Below are 21695 nucleotides of genomic sequence, written 5' to 3'. Positions count from 1 at the left end.
GTTTCCTGGTGGGTGCAAAGATGCCTCTTATTCGATATATCATTAAAGAAACCAGTCTTTTTTTCTGCAGAGCATTTATAATATATTTTAATATAGCCAAGTCATTCATAACCAACCCCCCCATTAATTACAGGAAATTTGCGCAACATTGACCATATCAAAGGACTCTACATTATAAAGAGGAGAATACATTATTGGAGACCGATATGATGTGGGATATGATTCATTCATTCATTTAGCAATTATTTATTGAAGACTTTGTGTGTGCCAGGCAGTGTTGTACGTACTGGGAATATAACTGTTAACAAGACTGCCAAGAACCTTGCTGTTGTGTTGCTGGTATTCTAGTAGGGTACAGATACTAAACAAACAACAAAGAACAGTATCAGAGGAAAGTGCTGTGCAGAGAAATAAAACAGAATGATGAAATAAGGAGTGCCCCTGGGCCAGTTTAGATGAGGTACCCAGGTAAGGCTTCTCAGAGGAGGTGACTTTTGAGCTGAGGTCTGAATGGCAAGAAGGAGGCAGCCAGGAGCAGCTTGGAAGAGAAGCATTCCAGACTTAGGGAACAACCAGTGTTCAGACCCTGGGGTATCATGAACTGGGTGGGTCTGAGGAACAGAAAAAAGGCATACAAGATGGAGAGCAGAAACACTCAAGGCAGCAGAACTAGTTGGGGCCTGATCTTACAGACTTTGGAAACCAGGGTCGCAAGACGCCGAGCTTTATTCTTCTACCTATTACTTTAATGCTAAAAGGGAACTAGGAATCTGTTCAGTCATGAGCCAAATAATAGAATCAGTGAAACAGTCTCCAGATATTAACTAGGGGGAAGTAGATGGTTTTGTCTGGATTATCCAGTTCAATTTTTTTTTTTTTTTTTTTTTTTTTGTGACGGGGTTTCACTCTTGTTGCCCAGGCTGGAGTGCAGTGGCGCGATCTTGGCTCACCGCAACCTCTGCCTCCTGGGTTCAAGCAATTCTCCTGCCTCAGCCTCCCAAGTAGCTGGGATTACAGGCATGCTCCACCACATCCGGTTAATTTTGTATTTTTAGTAGAGACGAGGTTTCTCCATGTTGGTCAGGCTGGTCTCGAACTCCCGACCTCAGGTGATCTGCCCGTCTCGGCCTCCCAAAGTGCTGGGATTACAGGCGTTAGCCACCGCGCCCAGCCTCCAGTTCAATTCTTTCGTTAAGAGCCATAATAGTGAAAGGAGCACTGGAATTGGAGTCCCCAAACAAATCCCAGCAGTTTTGGGACGAGCCATTTAGTTTTTCCAGAGTCATCCATCTGTAAGACTGACACTACCTTTGACACAAGGGTCGGTATAATGATGAAATGGCAGCTACCTGACAAATGCAAAGTCATATACAAAATACAAAGTTGCTATTATTGATGACCCTTCAATTTGATCATCTTATCTATTAAAATGTCTATTTTTAAAACTATAAAAATGCATCTTTGATCCATTGAAGAGACTTTATATCTTACCGGGAGAAACCTAGCAGACAAATTCATGGTGGGTATAGTTACCTTTTTCCCTCATTGGTTCCTAGGCATTGCTTCACACTCACAGATAACCTGTTTGACCTTTTCTTCTAAGGTCTGGGATGTATTTAAGAACAAATGACCACTGCCTATGGAATTCTTTCTTCTAGATTTTTTGTCCAATAGCTGAATTGGATTTGAAATAGGGGAGGCTTAAAAAGGAGAGTTGACTGTTGGTTTTAAAAACGTATCTCTAAAGAGGACTCATCATTGTTCTGAGAAAACAAAAATCCGGGACTTCTAAAAATAACTGCTGATTGCCTTGGAGTTGGGCTGGTGCATATGAACAATTTACATTCTGCTCTTTGGGAGCTGGTGACTCTTCTGGAAATTGGGGCTCTTTTAGTGGACATTGTTGATGCAGGCATAGTTGGCTTTTGTTTCCATGTGCTTCTCAGAAACTCTTGCTCTGCTCCGCAGACATTTGTATGTGTCAAAGAAGTATATGGGGCTGAGTGCAGTGGCTCATGCCTGTAACCCCAACACTTTGGGAGGCCGAGGCTGGAGGATCACTTGAGCCCAGGAGTTCAACACCAGCCTGGGCAACACAGTGAGATCCCATCTCTACAAAAAATTTAAAAAATGAAAAAGAATCAGATGGGATGAGAGAGTCCATAGGTCAGGTTCTCCAAGAGTAGTTTTCAGGAGCCATGTAAGTGGCCCTAGAGATTCTGAACTTTAAAATGTTAAAACTGCTTTGATTTCACAGACACCCTTTCAAAAGATTATCTCAGATTACTGGAAGACTTTCTTGTTAAGTTTAGAGAATTTTGCATTTTGCTTAGAAATCATTTTCAAGTTTTATTAGAACATTTACTAGCAATGGTGCTAATTATTTTAAATATGACCCTGGAAATGGGCTATGTCAGCTTGAAAAGACTATTTTTAACGGAATTTGGTTTTAAAGGCAGGTTTTATAGACATTATAGTAATACCGTTGTTATCTAATTAGCATCCACTGCGTAAATGTACATGATATTAGAGAGGCAAGTATACATAAAATTATAAATTGTGACATTTTATGAGTTTTTTTTTTATTATGAGTCTTCTATAGTCATCATTACTTAACAGTGTGAAATGTGGTCTTAGACATTACATCATGTAAAGACCAGGAGACAAAAAAAAACTGAGGATCAATTTTTGATTATAATAAAGTTTTAGTATGAGGCATTTCTGAATATGTGTCATGAATATGAGTCATGATTTTCACACCAAACCTGACCTATTATGATTATGCTTCAACTTCATGGGGTTTTCAGTATTTAAATTCTAAACCCAATTCTAAGGTTTCAAAATGATTCACATTCAAACCTACTTTTATGTTTTATAATTAAATAAGAAAATATTGCTTATACCTACATTTTTATTATTCTTGGGCATATTATAATTATTTCTTTAATTTCACCAATAAAATAGCCCATTTCTTCATTAGTAAATTATCAGGCTATCTCAATAAAAAAATTAGTTTGAATGTGGCTTGCCATCTCAAAGAGTCATTTCAGTTTGGAATTTTCTCACTTTTTTCATTTGTTCTTTTTGTAAAATGTGAAGATACTTTCTAGGTAAATTAATCCCTTCCAAACGGTAAAATAACTTTCTTCTTGGAAAGAGTTATTACAGTCTTATTCTTTACAATCTTAAATACCACTTAGGTTAGCGTGAACAATACATGAAAAAAATTACACTAGTTAAAAAAAGAATGATTGCGACCTAGGCCAAGTGCATTGCAATTATATGTTCATGGAAAAGTGAGCTTTCTACTGGGAAGAGCACGATATAGATGCCCATGAAATTTCCAAAGTTTAAGTATTTTTGTAAATTAGGTTGTTCCTAGTTAAACAGGTGGCTTTAAAGGCTGGTTTCACTGTTGTTTTAATCATAGTTTAGTTACCATGGAGAAATATGCAAGTTAGCATTTATACACAGAAGTGAAATTTATGCTGCATAGATAATAGCCTAAATTTAGCTTGACTTAAGTTTACCACTTCCTTTTTTTTAAACAAAAAGAATAGTAATATATCACATATATCCATTAACAAGTTAATTTCTTTAAACGCGACTGTTATATTTTTAGAGAATTTCTTTTCTTAAGCCTCAGACACCTCTGTCACTGTGACCTCTTCCAGTGCTGAGTATAATGTAACATATTACATCAGATTTGCTCTAATTGTTTCACCCTTAGGTTTAATAAAACACTTTGCTGAGTTTAAAATCAGTTATGTGGTGAAAAAGTAATGTTTGGACACATTGCATCTAGTTGAGTTTTATAAAGGACTATTATTTTCTACTGAAAATCTTTAGGAAATGTGCCATGCTGATAGGACCAATCTGATATCATAACCCAACGATAATTTTGATTAGATATGTTTTCTAAAGAAAATTCAGAGACAGGTCTATTTCTAATGAACTGTTTTGATCTTAATGCCTTCTTCACTGAGTAATAGATTTTTCACTCTGAATTAAGATGTTCGTCTGTGTGGAATCCAGCATCCGTGAGCTGTCTTTCCTGCTTTACCCTGTACCCCTGAACGAAGGCTAAGTTTTCAAGGACAAATGTAGTAAAAGTGTCCTGATCCAACATGAGGTCCCCCAGCACAGAGAGAGAGCAGCAGATCCCTTTCAACACCAGCTGTTCTCACAGATATAGATTGCTGCAGTGAAATTTTCTTAATATAATTCAGGAAGCTCTAGAGAATTCTCCAAAACAACTGTGCCAACAAGGAAAATGTTGAATTTTTCATCAGCTGCCCAATGCTGAGAGTTAGTGGGCAATCCGTTCATTCATGACCAGATGTTCAGTGTAGTAACGCTCCGCAGTTAACTTGAACCTTGTGGCCTGTTTACCATTGGCTGCAAGGACATTGGCAGCAACCTGGCATTGGAGAATTGAGGCCCGCACAAGCGAAAGACCGAAGTGTGTGTCTGTGGCTTCCTGGTTTTCACCAGCGACCAGACAAGGTAGGGAATGATGAAAGAAAGGAAAGACATCACATCAATCATTTTGGAGGTGGGAGAATTTGCTATATGATTGTGTCTTGGGGGAACAGTAGGCAAATTCTTAAACTCATTTTTATTTGGAAAGAAAGGCAGTCTTTGTTTATTTAGTTAGGCAGATTTTTCAACCTATGTCTAAACCATGAAACTTTTTGTAGTGGGGGCAAGTAGGCATGGGTGGTTAAGACAGTAAGAAAAAGATTTCTAAATTTAAACTGGAGGAAGTCAATAAAATTGACTCTTAATATTGAAACCTGACAAAGTCCAATCTAGAATTGGAAATATGTGATATTTTTGTTTTAGGTGAGTGTTATTATTACAAGTGGAGAATACTTAGATCTTCCATTCATACAGATTCATCATTTCCTTCATATACATGTTTGGAGGCCATGACATTTTTGTGAGCTCTTTGAAGTAATGATGTTCAGCGGGAGGGGGAACTTAGATGGAGCAGGAGTTTTTGAACAAACAATTTGATTTTTTACTTTGAAAAGGATTTTGCCTGCAAATAATTAACAGTGTTTAATTCTGGATTTGCAACAGGCCAGGCCTGGGGAGGGCAGAGTTTGATAACGTGAGGCTTGTCTCAGATGGGGGGCTCATCTCTTCCTGACTACACGGCACTGCACAAGAATTTGAACTGTTTATTTCAAAGCAGCATGCACAAAGGAACTTTTAAAATCTTTCTTATTTAACCGTTTTTAACTTGGGCCACGTCTGCAAGAAGTTGCCATGTCTGCAAGAAGTTGGCCTTTGTTTACTTGAAACTGGAACAGAATGTCATCATGGAATAAACCTTTCGCTTTTTGGAGACTTGGATTGTTTTTCTCTTCCTATAGAATTCTTGACTGCCCCCCCCAACCCCCCTCCCCACCACACACACACACATCCTTACTGACGCCCATCCATGAGGCACAACTGTAACTTGCAGGACCTTTTAAGCAGAAGCCTTGCAGTAAGGATATTTGCTTTGGCAGAGCTTTCTGCCTTTGGTTTACAAAGTTGCAGTGAACACTTCCTTTGCATTTCCTGCTTACAGAGAAGGTGGGTTGCATGTCGCACTGAGATATGGAAATTCCTCATGACTCCATTTCAAGCCTGAACCTCTTGGCCCTTAGAATCCCACTGCTGAAGTATGTGTTTCTTTTGTCTGGGTGATTTTTTCTTTTTCTGAAAAGTCCCTTGGCTTGTTGACTTAGAAAGAGGAGGTTTTGAGTTACAGCAGGTCCTGACTTAGGGCTGCTGGGATGCAAGGTGAAGGCATTGCGTTGTTTTCCTGGATGCTAACTTGCTGATAGAAAAGTGAGAACCAGTTTACAGTAGCTCTGACACTACTGTTACCTTTCTGCAGTCCTCTCCAGCTGCTCCGAGCCCTTCGATGCCTTCGCCATGCACACAGTTTGTTCTTGGGTGTGAAAGCAAATAGTATTTGAGTTGGCAGCGACTTCTCTTTCAGTGGAGTTTGCTGCCTCGGCAAGAAACCGCAGCCTGAGCTTTCTGCTGCTGAAGGTTTCCACTGGCAGGATGGCCTTTTCCCACATTTCCTTGGTTTGAGGAAACAGATTTTTGAACTTTTTTTTTTTTTTTTAAAGACAGAATGCCAACATTTAACAGCTGGAGTCAGTATAATTTATGGTTTTCACTTTATGTTCTTGTGGATGTATAAAAATTAAAAATCCACAATTATTATTAAATTATGCAAGTTTTTGCAAAAAAAGTGATTAAAAATAGAACCTCTGTTATGAGGCATTCAAGAAAGTCATTGTTACCTAAACAGGTATTCTCAATTATTCTATCTTTAATGGTTTTTAATTGTTGTAATTTACTCATATTCTCTTGCATCTCTCAGAGGAGATGTTTCTGAAAGCTCTTCGTGTTTTCTTTGAGGAGCAAGTAGGAGTTTGTTCATTTGAACCACTTCAGTTTTTTTCCACCTTATTTAATTTATTTTATTATATTTGTTTTGTACACGTCGTTGTGTTCATCCTCACTTCAGGTAACCCTTACTGCAACAGCACTTATAAAAGCAAAGCAGTCATAAACCTGCTACCTATCGAGATGATCCTGTGCCAAGAGGAACGCAGGTGTCGCTCATGAAAGTGATGCAGGCCTTTGTGAGCCACAGACCCTCCCTTGTAGGAAAGCCTCAGTTTTCCTACATTTCCTTTAGGTGAAATTTATAACCCGCCCCCCCCGGCCCCCCCCCCCCCCGCCGCTTACAGATATAGCATATGGAGTCCTAATTGATTGGAGGCCTCACTGAATTTGCACCATATCGGAATCAGGAAATGAATGCAGTCAGCCAATAAAAAGTGATGGAATGTTGCCTCAAGATATGTAATATTTTTGTCCTATCAGTACACAAATACTAAATTTTTTTTGGTTATTTAAAAATTTCTAATGATAGAGATAAAGATTCTGAGAACCTTTATTAACATCCTCCCAAAGCCACACCTTTAGTTAAAAAGTAGCTCTGACATTTTTGTTATCTCGATTTCTCAGAAAATAAAATAGGAAGTGAAAAGGCCATTCTACTTGGTACAGTGTGTTACTATAAAGACCATTCGCTCTACACGTTAGATTTAGGGTCAGAACATTAGCTGTGATGAATAGCTAGGGACAAAATTTTTCTTTTCTTTTCAAGGATAGTGGCAGTTAATCATTTTTATCTGTCCGCCTTGTAGACTTGATTAGATTTATTATGTATGCCGCATGTTTATGGCATTTTTATTATATGTTGTTAATTTGTTGTAACTGCCACTATGTTTTTTTCTTCTTCCCTTTTTCTCCCTTGAGCACCCTTGAAAGCAACTAAGTGTTACCTTGTGCTTTAGGAAACTTCATTTAATTTTTCATTTTAATAAAAGCCCTAATAGTCAACAGGTTAAAAAAATAATAACCGGTGTTACAATGTGTATCTTCAGATAAAAGGAAAATTTGTACTTAACGTTAATTTTGAATTCTTATGTTTTCTGATGTTGATGAAGTAATGCATGTTCGGGTAGATTTAGAGAATACACGGCTATAAAAACATTTCACCTGAAACCTAGAAGGGCGAGCTGCGGAACGTGCACTAAACTATAATTTTCTTCATTAGTAGAAAGCCATCTATATAGTTTTCAAATCACTGCTAGGTAAGACAATTGGGCCGTTTAACATTTAAGCTGCTTAAAAAGTCACGCAGTTGAATGATGCATTTAGAACATCTTTTTTAGCTTACTAGCTCTCAGAATGGATATGGAATCTGTTAAATATAGAGGCCATTCTTTAAATAAGGCCGACAGTTAAAATTGGGAAGCCAGAGAATTAGATTGGAAATGATTTACGATGAGTCTACAGGACATTAAAAAAAATAAAGTTAGAAAAGGAAATCCACTGGCTGCATTGGCTATATTACAGCAGAGAATTTTTACTTTTCATCCCTTTTGAATTGGCTGGATATATGGGTAATGCATAGAAACAGACTTTCGGGAAAAATTGACAGAACTTTTCTTTTTATTATATGTTCTGGCATTGGTTTGGTATTGGCATCGTAAGCCTCTGACTATAACCAAGTCAGTTTCTTGTTTTGACAGTTACAAACTTTTTTTCAATAACAGAGAACCACCCATTCTCTTAAGAGCATTAGACGTTGAAATAAATAGAAGCTGGATTGAACAACGACTTTGTTTGTGTCATGCCGCATGAACACATGGGTCCTTAATAAATACCATTTGAAGATGACACATGGGTGTGGTTATTGAGTTTATAATGTGTAATCATCACACATGCATATATCGCTTTTAAGAATTGTTATGCATTCGTTCATACGCACAGCAAGAAGTTGATACATTTTTATGGAAAAAAACCAATGTGAATTCAAAGAGACAGATTACAGACAATATTAAGTCATTCAGGTGTGAAGTGGTTTCACTGATGCTAAAACTTGTTATGATGGCTCATTAAAACATCTGAAATCCTTACTTATAATGAGAAAGAGAAAGAAATACAATTTTAGATGTCTTAGCTATAAAATCCTTAATTATTCCAATTGTAGCAATACAATATTGAGTTAATCAAGAAAAAGGGATATATTTACTAACTAATGGTGGAAGACTTCAAGGTGATGAAGTTATTAACCCAGTTTTAGACTTTGGTGTTCTGAGAGATGCACTATGCCCCATTGTGTGCACGAGACCAGCATTTGATTCCAGTACCTCCTGCCCTATTCTGATGTTTATGTAGGCAACTTTGAAAAAGCAAAAGTTCATATTCAAATTCTGTCCTTAGGAATAAAGTGTCGAAAGAAATAAGATATTTTGTTACCGTCATGAAGCATTTCAGCTAGAGCTTGCTGAAAATATAAACATTAGATATTTGGGTTAGGGGATTTCTGGCTCATGGCAGCTGGGTGAATAAGCAACAAAGTCTAAAAATCTTGGTGCTCAGAGCAATGAACAATTCCTTTGGTTGGTACACAGAGCTCATAGAGGAGAAAAGAGAAAATATTAGTAGGTTGGAAAGGTAGCTGATGTAAGATGGAGAACCTCAAATTCAGAGTTAAGGAGTAAAGAATTCAGTAACATTAATTAATATTAATATTAAATACTAATGGCAGATAACATTTGCTATGGGCAAGGCATCAAGCTTAGTGGTTGACAATTCATTGTATTATTTTACTGGTAATAAGCTTCCAAGGAAGGTGATTCTTTTTTTTTTTTTTTTTTTTGAGACGGAATCTTGCTTTGTCAACAGGCTAGAGTGCAGTGGCACCATCTTGGCTCACTGTAACCTCTGCCTCCCGGGTTCAGGTGATTCTCTTGCCTCAGCCTCCCGAGTAGCTGGGACTACAGGCATGCGCTACCACGCCCAGCTAATTTTTTTGTATTTTTAGTAGAGACGGGGTTTCACCATAATGGCCAGGATGGTCTTGATCTTTTGAGGTCGTGATCTGCCCACCTTGGCCTCCCAAAGTAATGGGATTACAGGCATGAGCCACCGCACAGGGCGTGATTCTATTATTATGCGTAGTTAACAGAGATGAGAAGACTGAGTCTTGGAAAAGTCATGTGATCTTACCCTGGGCACGCAATGGTCAGATGGAGCCAAGATTTCAAATTAGACTCTGTGGCTTAAGAATCAGCCTTTTGAGGACTGACTCTATTGCCAGTGGGCACAACCAGGGATTTTTGAGCAGAGGAGTCTCTGGTCAGAACTGTGCTCTGGGATAATTCATCTGTCATATTTCAAAGCAATGTAGTGAGGAGCCCAGATAGGAGGAAATTGTGATGTTCTGAAGAGCGGCAACTACAGTCTGCAGTTGAGTGTTTGATGAGATTGGAAAGGCAGTGATGGAGAGGTCCCAAAATCCTTAACGTTTTGGGCGGTACTTGGTGTGAAAGACAGATGATTGGGAGAATGGAGTTGGTATTCTTATCCCTTGCTAATGGAAGAGGAGAGAGGGCAGGCTGGGAAGGGATGAGCTGAGGTTTGGATGTGGCTTGAGGTGCAGACGTTAATTTCAGGCAGAGTCTTTTGGAAGGTGATGAAATACACATTGAACTAGAGGTTACGAAGATAGTCAGGGCTGGAGATGTGGATCTGAAGCCACAGAAGCCAGTAGAAAGAGTGAGACTGGTACATTTAGAGAGGTGCGGGGAAAAGAAAGTGGCTGGAGAAGGAGACCACGATATAAATCAGTCTTAGGAGATAAAGAAAAATCTTTCTGCACATTGGAGATGACAGATTTGTAGGCCATGCTTCAGACACATACCTATACATATTCATGTTTGTATACATATTCATGTACATATTTATATATGTATTCCTATATACATTCATATGTATTACTGTGTGTGTTTGTATATGTATCTTATTCATGAGCATGCGCTGTTCTCTTATGCTCACATATGTATTCTTGGGAGCCTTTCCCACCTCAGCAAGTGGGGAGAGGAAGAGTGGGGTAGGCGTCAGTCTCTCCCCAGAGCAGCTGATTGGGGCAGGTTCTGCTCCCTGCTGCTGCAGTTTGAGAGCAGTAGAGGGAAAATGGGGTTTACTTTGTGTACGTGTGGTTCAGGCCAACACGCAGAATTTTATACCCCTCAAAATGCATTCCTCCACAGAAGCCTGGCAACTTTAAATGCTCTAGTAAATGTTAGGTGATTTATAATACAGTTTTAAAGAATTCAGCAAGATTACCATTCTATTGTGAAATAAGGGCTGACAGTGTGGTCAGTAAATGTGTTAACTTTTCATTTGGGTTGGTATGTCTCTCCTTTGCAAATCCATTCATCTGCCGAAATGCATATGAGAAGCATTGCTTTTGCCAATGAAGGATTGCAGTTAGGATTTTTTTTTTTTTTTACTTCCTTTTCCCGTGCCCCTTCTTAATTACTAAGAAGGTTAACAGCACACACTTCAGGGTCACTGATGTTGTGTTGTGTTCTGTTTTTGTTTTTCCTGTAGCCAAAGAAATGCTGTATTATTGCTCAAGTCTGTTTTGTGTTGTTGATTGAAGGGCTGAGAGAGTGCCCGTTTCTTTTTCTTTCAAGATACCACTAAGTGATTTCCTTTCAGGGTTCTAGAAAATGTGTCACCCTGACAAAAATTGCCTTCCCATGCTAGTAGCCTTAAGCTTCTACTTCTTAATTCCTTACATGGCCATTTCCTAAATGGTTAGAGTTATTTGGAACACCTTAAAATTAAAAAGCTTTCATTGCCACCCACTCCACCACTCAGACTGCCAGTGATATGAAATTCACCTGAACCCTTTACAGTTGGTGACAATTGTTTTAGGAAAATATATGTGATAAGATGCTGCAGGTCCTCATACCAGTGTCAACTCAGAATGTCGTTCACATTTCTTCTGAGAGTCTCCAATTGGCCACATTACTGAGAGCTTTGTCATAATGCTTTAAGTCATTTATCAGCTGAGGTCACTTTGACTTTTGAGATTCTAATAAAATTGGCTTGAACTTTTATCTTATACCCTGTGGGAATTCCAATGAGCATTTCTGGAGGCTTTGTTTTCGTGGTGGATTTTTGTTAGAGAACTCTTGATATTCCTTGTTTCCGTTGCTTTTCTCTCTTCTCTCAGAGTTAGAAATTAGCTTCTTTCCACAATTTCCTTCCACACAGCTCACACAGACCGTGGAAGTTTAGGGAGTTGGAGGAAGTTTGCATCAGAGAAATTTGGAAGGATGTTTAACAGCCTGTTTGTTTGTTGGTTTGTTTGTTTGTTTGTTTGTTTGTTTTGCTGAGACGGAGTCCCACTCTGTTGCCCAGATTGCAACGGGCGATCTCAGCTCACTGCAACCTCCACCTCTGGGGGTTCAAGCGATTCTCCTGCCTCAGCCTCCCACATAACTGGGACTACAGGCTTACACCACCATGCCTGGCTAATTTTTTTGTATTTTTAGTAGAGGCAGGGTTACACCACGTTGGCCAGGCTGGTCTGGGACTCCTGCCTCAGGTGATCCGCCCACCTCAGCCTCCCAAAGTGCTGGGATTACAGGCGTGAGCCACCGCGCCCGCCAGCCTTGTATGTTTGCACATACATAGTTGTCTCTGAAGAGCTTTCTCTATACATCATGACCTCCAAATTGCCTGACTTACCCTCTTTTATCTATCTTCTCACCTCTCATTCTTCTGGTTTCTGTTACCAACTCATGTTTCTTAAAAACGGCAATTTAGTTTTCTCTTTCTGTCTCACCATTTCCTTCCAAACCAGGTTCAAGGGGGCCTGGTCTTCCATGTTTCAAGCGATGTGTCAAGGATGAGCTGACTAGTAAAATGATCTTTTTAGTTAAGTACATGTGCACAGACACCCCTGCTTTTTCTCCCTCCACTCTCTCTCCCATAAATGTAGCAAAAACTGAAGCTACTTTGCATAGAAAAAGACATATTAAGGTTTTACCTATTTTGACTGGACCTGCCACCCTCTATTCTTTTCATGTATTTCCCTTTAATCAAATAGGTTGATTCAAAGTGCATGCCCTAAATACCAACATTTTCTCATTGATACTTATTTTCTGATACTAGACCAACAATGTCTGCCCTAAATCCTAGGGCCCAAAACCAAAATCTCAGCCTCACAGCATTTTATTGTTGCCATTGGTTATGCAGTCTTCCTTGTAAAGTTTGACACTTTATATGTCATTCTTTAATCGAGTCTTCTCTGATAATGAATTCTTCCCCTTCCCCTAGAAATTAAGGATGCCAAAGAAAGGGTAAAGTGGTGCTGTTTGATGCAGAGCTAGCGGAAAGCATTTGCTGTTAGAGAGCCACCTGGAGCTGGCCCATCTTCTCATGTCAGTTTACCATAATAATGTCAGCCAGCATGGGTATCTCATAATTAGATGAGGAACATCAGGCAGTTTCCTGATGGTGTTATCTTTCATAGTTTTCACAGTGATGTTCCTGACTTGGTGTTACAAAAACTCTGAAAAACATCTACCAAGCTTGAAGTGCACCCTTATTGGTTATTTTTCAAGTTCTCATACCCACACCTAAATATGTAAGATGTATTTCTCATCAGAACAGTGGCTCCCAAGGCCTGGGATCCCCAAACCCCAGGAGATGCCGTCAAAGGATTAGAAGATGCCATCCAAGGATTAGAAGATGCCGTCAAAGGATTAGAAGATGTTATCCTGGTGTTTTTCAGTATTTAAATTAGGATGAGTTTGATTGTACTCAACAGAAAGTCCAGTAAAGGCAGGCTTAAAGAGTGTCACTGGCAAGTCCTTAGTAGGTAGGCTGCAGGAGAGACTTGATCCAGCTCTCTGCTCTGCTTTTCATGGTGTTGGCTTATCTTCAGAGTGGCCCTATTTGCAGTCTTAAGATGATTCCTAGCAACTGTCAAGCTGTAGATTTCCTTGCACATGTGAAGCAGGAGAGTGGAAAAGGGAATATTTTCTTAGGATTTTCAGAAAAATTCTTGAAACTCTAGTTGGACTTGTTTCTGCCACATACCACCCTCCCTGTGGCCAGGGAGATGGAATATATTAGTTGGCATGTTTTAGGCCATGTGTTTTCCGCCACTGGAGCTGGGGTGCAATCAACTTCTGCAAAATCCCATGACTTCCCATATGTCAGTTGGTCCCGTTTGGAAGTAGTTTAGAGGACAAGATGCTGGGGACACAGCCTTAAATGGTTATTTCATTGACCTGTTTTTTTTTCCTCCCCACCTTTTTTCTTGTTTTGGAGACAGGTCCCTGTCGCCCATGTTGGAGTGCAGGGGTGCCATCATGGCTCAGTGCTGCCTCTACCTCCTGGGCTCAAGCAATTCTCCCACCTCCGCTTCCCAAGTAGCTGGGACTATAGGCGTGCACCACCATGCCCAGCCAAAATATTTTGGATTTTTTGTAGAGACAGGGTCTCGCCATGTTGCTCAGGCTGGTCTTGAAGCCTTGGACTCAAGAAACTCGCCTGCCTAGGCCTTCTGAAGTATTGCATTTACAGGCGTGAGCTGGGCCTGTTTTCATATTTTTAAAGGCTAATGTTAATTCAGTCATTTGCATAAGACTTTGACGTTAATCAAATGTCAATTTCCTTGGCTTTTGGTCATAAACATTTTAATCTGTGAGCTCTGATTGGCAATTTGGTAGATGTTCCCTATGAATTAATACGTAACAAATAAGTGTTGGTAGAATCTGAAACTTAGCATCTATGTTGGTAGGAGTGCTTAGAATTTACTAAAAGGAGTTCTTTGTGGTTAAAAACAATAGAGGGCTGGGCATGATGGCCCATGCTTATAAGTCCCGCACTTTGGGAGACTGAGGTGGGTGGATTGCTTGAGCCCAGGAGTTTGAGACCAGCCTGGGCAACACAGAGAGACTCCGTCTCTACAAAAAATAGAAAAATTAGCTGAGAGCGGTGTTGTATCCCTGTAGTCCCAGATATTTGGGAGGCTGAGGTAGGCGGCTCACTTGAACCCGAGGAGGTTGAGGCCGCAGTGAGCTGTGATCGTGCCACTGCACTCCAGCCTGGGTGACATAGCAAGACCCTGTCTCAAAAAAAAAAAAAAAAAAAAAAAGGCCAGGCGCAGTGGCTCACGCCTGTAATCCTAGCACTTTGGGAGGCCGAGGAGGGCGGATCACGAGGTCAGGAGATCGAGACCACGATAAAACCCCGTCTCTACTAAAAATGCAAAAAATTAGCCGGGCGCGGTGGCAGGCGCCTGTAGTTCCAGCTACTGGGGAGGCTGAGGCAGGAGAATGGCGTGAACCCGGGAGGCGGAGCTTGCAGTGAGCCGAGATCACATCACTGAACTCCAGCCTGGGCGACAGAGCAAGACTCCATCTCAAAAAAAAAAAAAAAGAGAGAACCTCATGTCTCAGGTTTCTGAGTCAATAGCAGATAAAACTAATTGTAATTTACCTAAGAAGGTAAGAAGGGACGACCAGGTCAAATGTTGTGCAGATGTGGATAAAAGAAAAAAGGACATTCATTTGTGCTACTCTTATTTCCAAAATTTTAAATTCAATGTTTCAAGTCCCTTTTTTTCCAGATATGGTAAGTTTTACGTTTTACTAGCATGTTTTAAAAACATTAATCATATGGAAAGAAAAAGATGATACATTTTAACACTACTACGATAGCGTCTATGACTCAACAACAGAAATTGTTGTTAGCAGAACCAGCAAAAAACCATTCTGTCTTGGGGGAAAATTGTTTGGTTGAAAGGCCACAGAAGAGATGCATATTCAGTAAGAGTAATGAGAGGCAAACACAATACCATAAGATTGTTTTGCAAAAAAAAAAAAAAAAAAAAATGTCTAAAAAGAGTATAGTCAAACTGTGGAGGAAACTTCATTGTTAAAAAATAAACATTGTGCATATCAAACATTGAAGAGTGTAAAGTGTTGTCGATGGTAATGTGAACTTATTCTAAGTTGCCGAAAATGTTTCGTGCTCAATGCATTTTAGAAACAACATTTCCATCAGAGTGAAAAGAAAGCAAAGGGAGCCTTCTTAAACTATACTGGCTACAATAACCCTGCCAAGCAATATTTTCTGGGAAGCCTTTGGCCTAGGCTCATGCTGAGCCTCTTGGCCTTTGCTGTTGTTTTACCTGACTTACACAACGTTGGTTGTTTTGGATCTACTGCCTTCCCAGTTGCCAGACTAGGAATTCTTGGCCAGTGTGTCAGGGTATTGTGGATGTAAAATTAGAACCTGCGGCTCACCATGGTGAGACTGGCCAACCTGATGTTCTTGGGTAGTCTCCCTGACCTCTGTCCACTAGGGGTCCACATTTCTGACTCCACTCTGACCTTAAAAGACAGATTGCTACATCTGGAAGTCTTATTTACATAGTCTTTGGTTTTATATCCCAACTCCTCCCTGCCTGCCCGCCCCCATCTTTTTGGTTTATTATTCTTTAGACTTTGCCATGCTCAGGCATTCTTGGAGATTTTCCTTGTATTTTCCACGATGTTGATCTAAATACCACCTATACTGTATTTGCTTCTATATCCCCTGCAATCCCCTCACTTGTTAGAATATAAATTAGTCTATCTAGAGGAAGGCTTTACATTGTTCCTTAAAAGAAATAGTATCAGTTGCCACAGCTAGATGATTACCTAAAGTAAATACTATGAAGCCAGAACAATGGTATAAACAGGAGTGGGAAAACTGTTTTTGTAAAGGCCAGGTAGTAAATATTTTTGGCTTCACAGGCCATCTGGTCTTTGTTGCAACCACTCAGTTCCACCACATTGCCCCAGATCAGCAAGAAGCAATACATAGATGAATGGGAATGGTGGTGTCCCAACAAAACTCCATTTATGGACACAGCAATTTGATTTTCATATAATTTTTTTATTTCATGAAATATTGCCTCTTCTTTAGATTTTTTTTTTTCCCCTAACCATTTAAAAACATACAATTCATTCTTAGCTCGTGGGCTGTATAGAAATCATCAGCAGGTTGGGTTTGGCCCGTGGACTGTAATTTGCTGACCCCTGGTATGAAATTCTTGCTGCCTATAGTTGCCTACTTCTACCTAAGATAACTGAGCTGGAGAGGTTCTCGCTTTGTTAAAAATGGACTTTAACATGTGTTAGGCATTAGACCAGCACCCAAATGAGACTTTGTCCTTGACATAATTTGAAGGGTTCAAGTGGAATTGAAAAGAGAACAACTTCCTGAGTATGCGGTCCAGTGTAATTTGTTGCTATGCCTGTACCACCTAAAATCATCTTAGAGGTTCAAGTCTGGAGCCTTAGGAAATATTGCCATTGTCTGCTTGTTCTACCCAGTTGTTCTCCCAACCATCACACAGATAACATGAAAATATAGATACAAATAGAGATGAGTGAAATGAGAGGCAGCGAAAGGAAGAGTTTTCAACATTAACTAAAAACCACCAAGATCAGTAATGAGGGCAGAGGGAAGAAGGACTGAAAGAATGGCTGATTTTTACAAAGGAGTAAATATCTGAAGAAGGAAAAGAAGAAGTTCTGAGACCAGAAGTTAGCCAAAACGTAAATATTTTGCCAATTTATCCATGACCCTCTTTCCTTTTTCTGATGGTATCATATAGTAAATAGTTCCCCATTATTCATGGGGGATACATTCCAAGACCCCCAGTGAATGCCTAAAACTACAGATAGTACTAAACCCTATAGGGGCTATGTTTTTTCCTATACATACATACATATGATAAGATTTAATTTATAACTTAGGTACAGAAACAAATTAATAATAACTAATAATAAAATTAAACAATATAACAGTTATATTTATAAACAATAAAACAATTATATATATTTAATTTATTTAAAATAAAACAATTATACCAATATGCCAGCATCACTACTCTTCGACTTTGAGGCCATTATTAGGTAAAATAAGGATACCTTGAACACAAGCTCTGGGATATGATTATAGTTGATCTGACAACCAATATGGCTACTAAGTGACCAGTGGACAGTCAGTGTAGACAGCATGGAGACCCTGGACAAAGCAATGACTCATGTGGGTAGGACAGAGTGGGACAGGGAGAAATGTCCTCACGCTGCTCAGCATGGTGGGCAATTGAAAATTTATGGAATTTTCCATTTAATATTTTCAGACCCTGGTTGACTGGGGGTGACTGAGACCCTGGAAAGCACAACCCGTGGATAACAGCAGACCCTACTGTATCATAGTATATGATACTGTATATTACTAATCCATCTCCCCAGCGGTACCTTCTTTGGTATTTATGTATTGTTCTGTTAGTTACTGATACTAGTATTTCCCCTCCCCTGGCAAAAGGAAGAGAAGCTAGCGACCCAGAAAAGAGTCTCTTTATCCACCCACTTTTTGCCTTCCTTTGTGTTAGTCCATCTGATGTTAAATCTCAAACACAGGCTTTTTTTTTTTTTTTTGTTTCTTGGCCTGTATTGATTCCCTTTTCGCATATGATTTGGAAAGGAATCTTTGAGTTATTTCTTGACAAAATTCTGTTTAAAACAAAAAACAAAAAACAGGACCAGTGTGGCTTCATCTCATAAGTTTAGATGTCTGGGGGATAAAAGAATTTAGATGTTCACAATATTCTAATATTTTGCTTTATATTCTGATAGACAAAAACTGTGGAAATTCTGAGGAAAATGTGATCTTCAGTATCAAGGAAGCATTTGTGCATAGCATTCATAGGGTAACAATTATTAATGTAACGTGAAAAATAATGTCTTCGTGTTACCAGCTCAAAAGATGTTCTTAATTTCAAAACAGCTTCTTAAAACAAAGTTGTTTTTTCAAGTTGCATTGCCTTCCAGTATCAACATGAACCAAGAAACCTTACACCAGGCATATTAGCTGATATGTTCTGAAGTGTGATAGTATAGTTGTTAAATAATTACCCAAGTTGGGAAAAAGATCTAGTTTCAAATTCTGGTTTAGCTACTTAGGAACTCGGTGACCTTGGGGGGGTTATTTAGTATTTTAAGCCTCAGTTTTCTCATCTGATGATGGGGATGAAAAAGTACTTACCTCATTATAGGAACTGAAAATATTATAGTTTATCAAATGCCATTGGTTGAATGTGATTATGTAAAAATAGTTCTTAGTGTAGCACATGGCACATCAAAGTAATATTTCCTTTACATGATATTTATATACCTGATTAAATAAAAAATATTTCCAAGTATTGTTTTGCTGAATGCCTAAGCTGGAGTTAAATATTAGAGGACATTTAATTCTGGGAGTAAACAGCGCTTTAAACATCCATTTTACCTTTTGGTATTTTTAATATTCAGTTTAAAATAATTTTCCCTTATGTAAAGAGGCCATAATGCATGAAGTTCACATGTATGACAGAATTTGGGTACCTTCGCATCAGTGAGTCTGTGGCCCGCTGAACTCTCTTAAATTTGCTTAAACCAAGGAAACATTGACTCACGTTTTAACACCTTAACATCAGTTCAGTTGCACTTGCTCACCTAGTCACCATTTAGTTTTTTTCTCCAGTTTTTATTAATTTTGAGAATAAAAGAAGATGAAGACTCAATTTTGCATTTTGCTCACTTTTGAGTTTCTGTAGGTTAAAAAAAAAGAATACATATGATAGGTATAATTGTGATAATTCTTTATCTTTGCTTCTTTGTATACCCTCACCTTTTTTCAATTTCTCGCATCAGTTTCTACATTCTGGAGAATGTACATGATGTGTAAAAATCATCCTCCAACTCCATGGTTCTCAGATTCTGTCTGTCAGATGAAAGGGGACCATGGTGTGATGCCATCGAGGGGTTAAGAGGAAAAGGCTAAGAGGAAGTTAAACAAAGAACTGATTTATGTAAAGTGGAAAATTGAAGCTGATGGTGTTGTTTCCCGTGAGCCCCCTTTTGGGGCAAAGCAAATTCTAGGCTTAATTGGCTTCTTACGCTATTTTGAGTTCAGATGGCCACAAGTTCCAATTTGGTATTTCTACTAAATGAATAAGCCAGAATTTGAAACCAGATCTTTGTTCTCATCTTCGGTGATTCCTTAACAATGTATACTACCATTGCTTTTGAATGTACTAGCCAATATCACTGGTAATTTTAAGATAGATTTTTTAAGACACAAGTCTGAACTGTAAGTACTAAGGCAAACACATCATTGACATATTCTCCGTAAATGGACTCAGTGGAGACAAGTATTTATCCCATTCCATGAAGAATAAATTGTTTCAGTACAGCAACTTTTTGGGAACTCAGCCACATCATGTAGCTGCTTCTGGGCCTTACTTTGCTTGTCTATAAGATGGGATTAATCTTACTCCAGTGGTTTGTGAGGATCACATGATGGAATGGAGGTGAAATAATTCAGTAATGTTTTGTTACATTATTATGGCCCATCAATGACATTTGATGTAATCTTTGAAATAGATGCTTGTGGGGATTTCATCTCTCTTAAATTTGCTCCGTGAGCAAAAACAGTATTGACCTTCCTTGGTTCTTTGGATGGTTCTTCAGCATTTGAAAGTCAGAAATTTTAGTTTGCAGTCCACGAATCTTACATCAGAACCCCAAATCATGTTCCTTTATGTCTCCATCCCTACCATACTATAGAGTTAGCCTCTTTTGAAGCCATACAATTTTTGAAAAATACTCATTTTAAAGGTTAACACTCCAGTGACACCATATAATGAAAGCTGTAAAGCGACTTTTACCAAGTCCGTTTCCTTCTAAGGAATCGTCTGATTTTGTAAAAGTCATGATGTCTAGCTTTGTTTATATCAACAACTAGAACAGTGATTTCTCCATCCTTGTCTTTTAATGACATTGTTATTATTTCCAAATGTGAAATTGGAGTATTTGACTTGGAGAAACCATTTCATTTCCTCAACGTGTTTCAGTCTAGAATGTCTCCTTGTACTCTTTATTCTTTACTTGGGGATACATCCAAGTTCTCAGATATGGAACATTTAGGACTTAATTTCAGGATGTTAAGCTGAGAATTCACTTGAAGTTACCTTTTAGTTACCCCTCTAGAGTTTACGTTTCCTAAGGTAAGGTATGCTATACAAAAATATGAAAAATGAAAAAGAAACAAAACGTGTATATACATCATTAAATAACACCAAAATCATATACCATTTCTTGCTCATATCACACTGTTTAGTCTGTCAGAATTCCAGCTGTTTCTTTATTCAGGCCAATTTGTTGTGTCTTCTCTGAGTTTATCTGAGTGGAAGAATTAAGAGAGGAATCCCTTGGGTTTTCTTCTCAGCATGAGCTGTGAGAACCCTTGTCCAGTTCTCTACTTTACCATATAGATATCAGAAGCTCTTTTCTGTTTTTTCCTCCCAACCCCCTACCCACTATGAATGCATTTAGAGGTAACCACTTTTCTACTGAACTGGTAACAGATTTTTTTCTCTCCTTAGTCTTACAGCAGTTCTGGTTTAATTTATTTGGGCATTTAACTCTTGACGTGGCTAGAGATTGTCTAGATTTCCTAGAGTAGAAAATCTAGAATAAACCTAGAAAATCTAAACATCTAGAGTAGCAGGGAGATACACTTTGCTATAGAGTGAAAGGCCAGGTAGTCTTCTTGTTCAAGATGTTAACATTTGGGTCTGGAAATGGCTAGTAGATAGAGGAAGGAATGAGAATAAAAGAGTAGTGAAGCCAACTTTCACACCATTGCCTATCTGTTCAGAGAGTACCAGGTGCTTTGCAGCTATTTTACTAGCACATCATGTGTTCAGTGTCTCCAGCTCTTTAAAATTGGCAAGTAGACAATGCTACTTTCAGGTTATGATACACTGGGACAGGCATAGTTACTTGGATACTTGCACAATAATTATTTCTCACCTTTTTGCTACCTCCAATAGCTTTGGGGTTCATATACTCCTAGAATTCATTTTCTGACAGATATTTTTATTTTTATTTTTTTTTTTGAGACAGAGTCTCTTGCTGTGTTACCTAGACTGGAGTTTAGTGGCGCACTCTTGGCTCACTACAACCTCTTTCTCCCAGGTTCAAGCAATTCTTCTGCCTCAGCCTCCCAAGTAGCTGGGATTACAGGTGTGTGCCACCATACCCAGCTAATTTTTGTATTTTTAGTACAAACTGGTTTCACCTTGTTGGCCAGGCTGGCCTCAAACTCCTGACCTCAAGTGATCTGCCTGCCTCGGCCTCCTAAAGTGCTGGGATTACAGGCATGAGCCACCACGCATGGCCCAGATGTAGGTTTTA

At 38.9% G+C, this 21695-nt stretch overlaps 1 protein-coding gene across 10 annotated transcripts in view, besides 2 other annotated features; it reads left to right on the top strand.

Moving 5' to 3' along the window:
- The window catches only part of FOXP1 (forkhead box P1), a 629271-nt gene that overhangs the window by 187987 nt on the left and 419589 nt on the right, over window positions 1-21695 (top strand). The gene's annotated exons all lie outside the window — the stretch shown is intronic.
- Window positions 3660-3739: an enhancer, noted in NCBI's record as "active region_20060". NCBI's record gives its function as "activates an Ori minimal core promoter by ATAC-STARR-seq in GM12878 lymphoblastoid cells {active_cell/tissue: GM12878}" and the evidence as "EXISTENCE:reporter gene assay evidence [ECO:0000049][PMID:35858748]".
- Window positions 5420-5714: a silencer, noted in NCBI's record as "tiled region #6361; HepG2 Repressive non-DNase unmatched - State 3:PromF". NCBI's record gives its function as "represses a minimal TATA promoter and a strong SV40 promoter by Sharpr-MPRA in HepG2 cells {active_cell/tissue: HepG2}" and the evidence as "EXISTENCE:reporter gene assay evidence [ECO:0000049][PMID:27701403]".

This window comes from Homo sapiens, chromosome 3 (assembly GCF_000001405.40).
Source record: "Homo sapiens chromosome 3, GRCh38.p14 Primary Assembly".
Taxonomy (NCBI): domain Eukaryota; kingdom Metazoa; phylum Chordata; class Mammalia; order Primates; family Hominidae; genus Homo; species Homo sapiens.
Note: the sequence above shows the minus strand (reverse complement) of the source record. Positions and strands in the feature narration are given on the sequence as shown.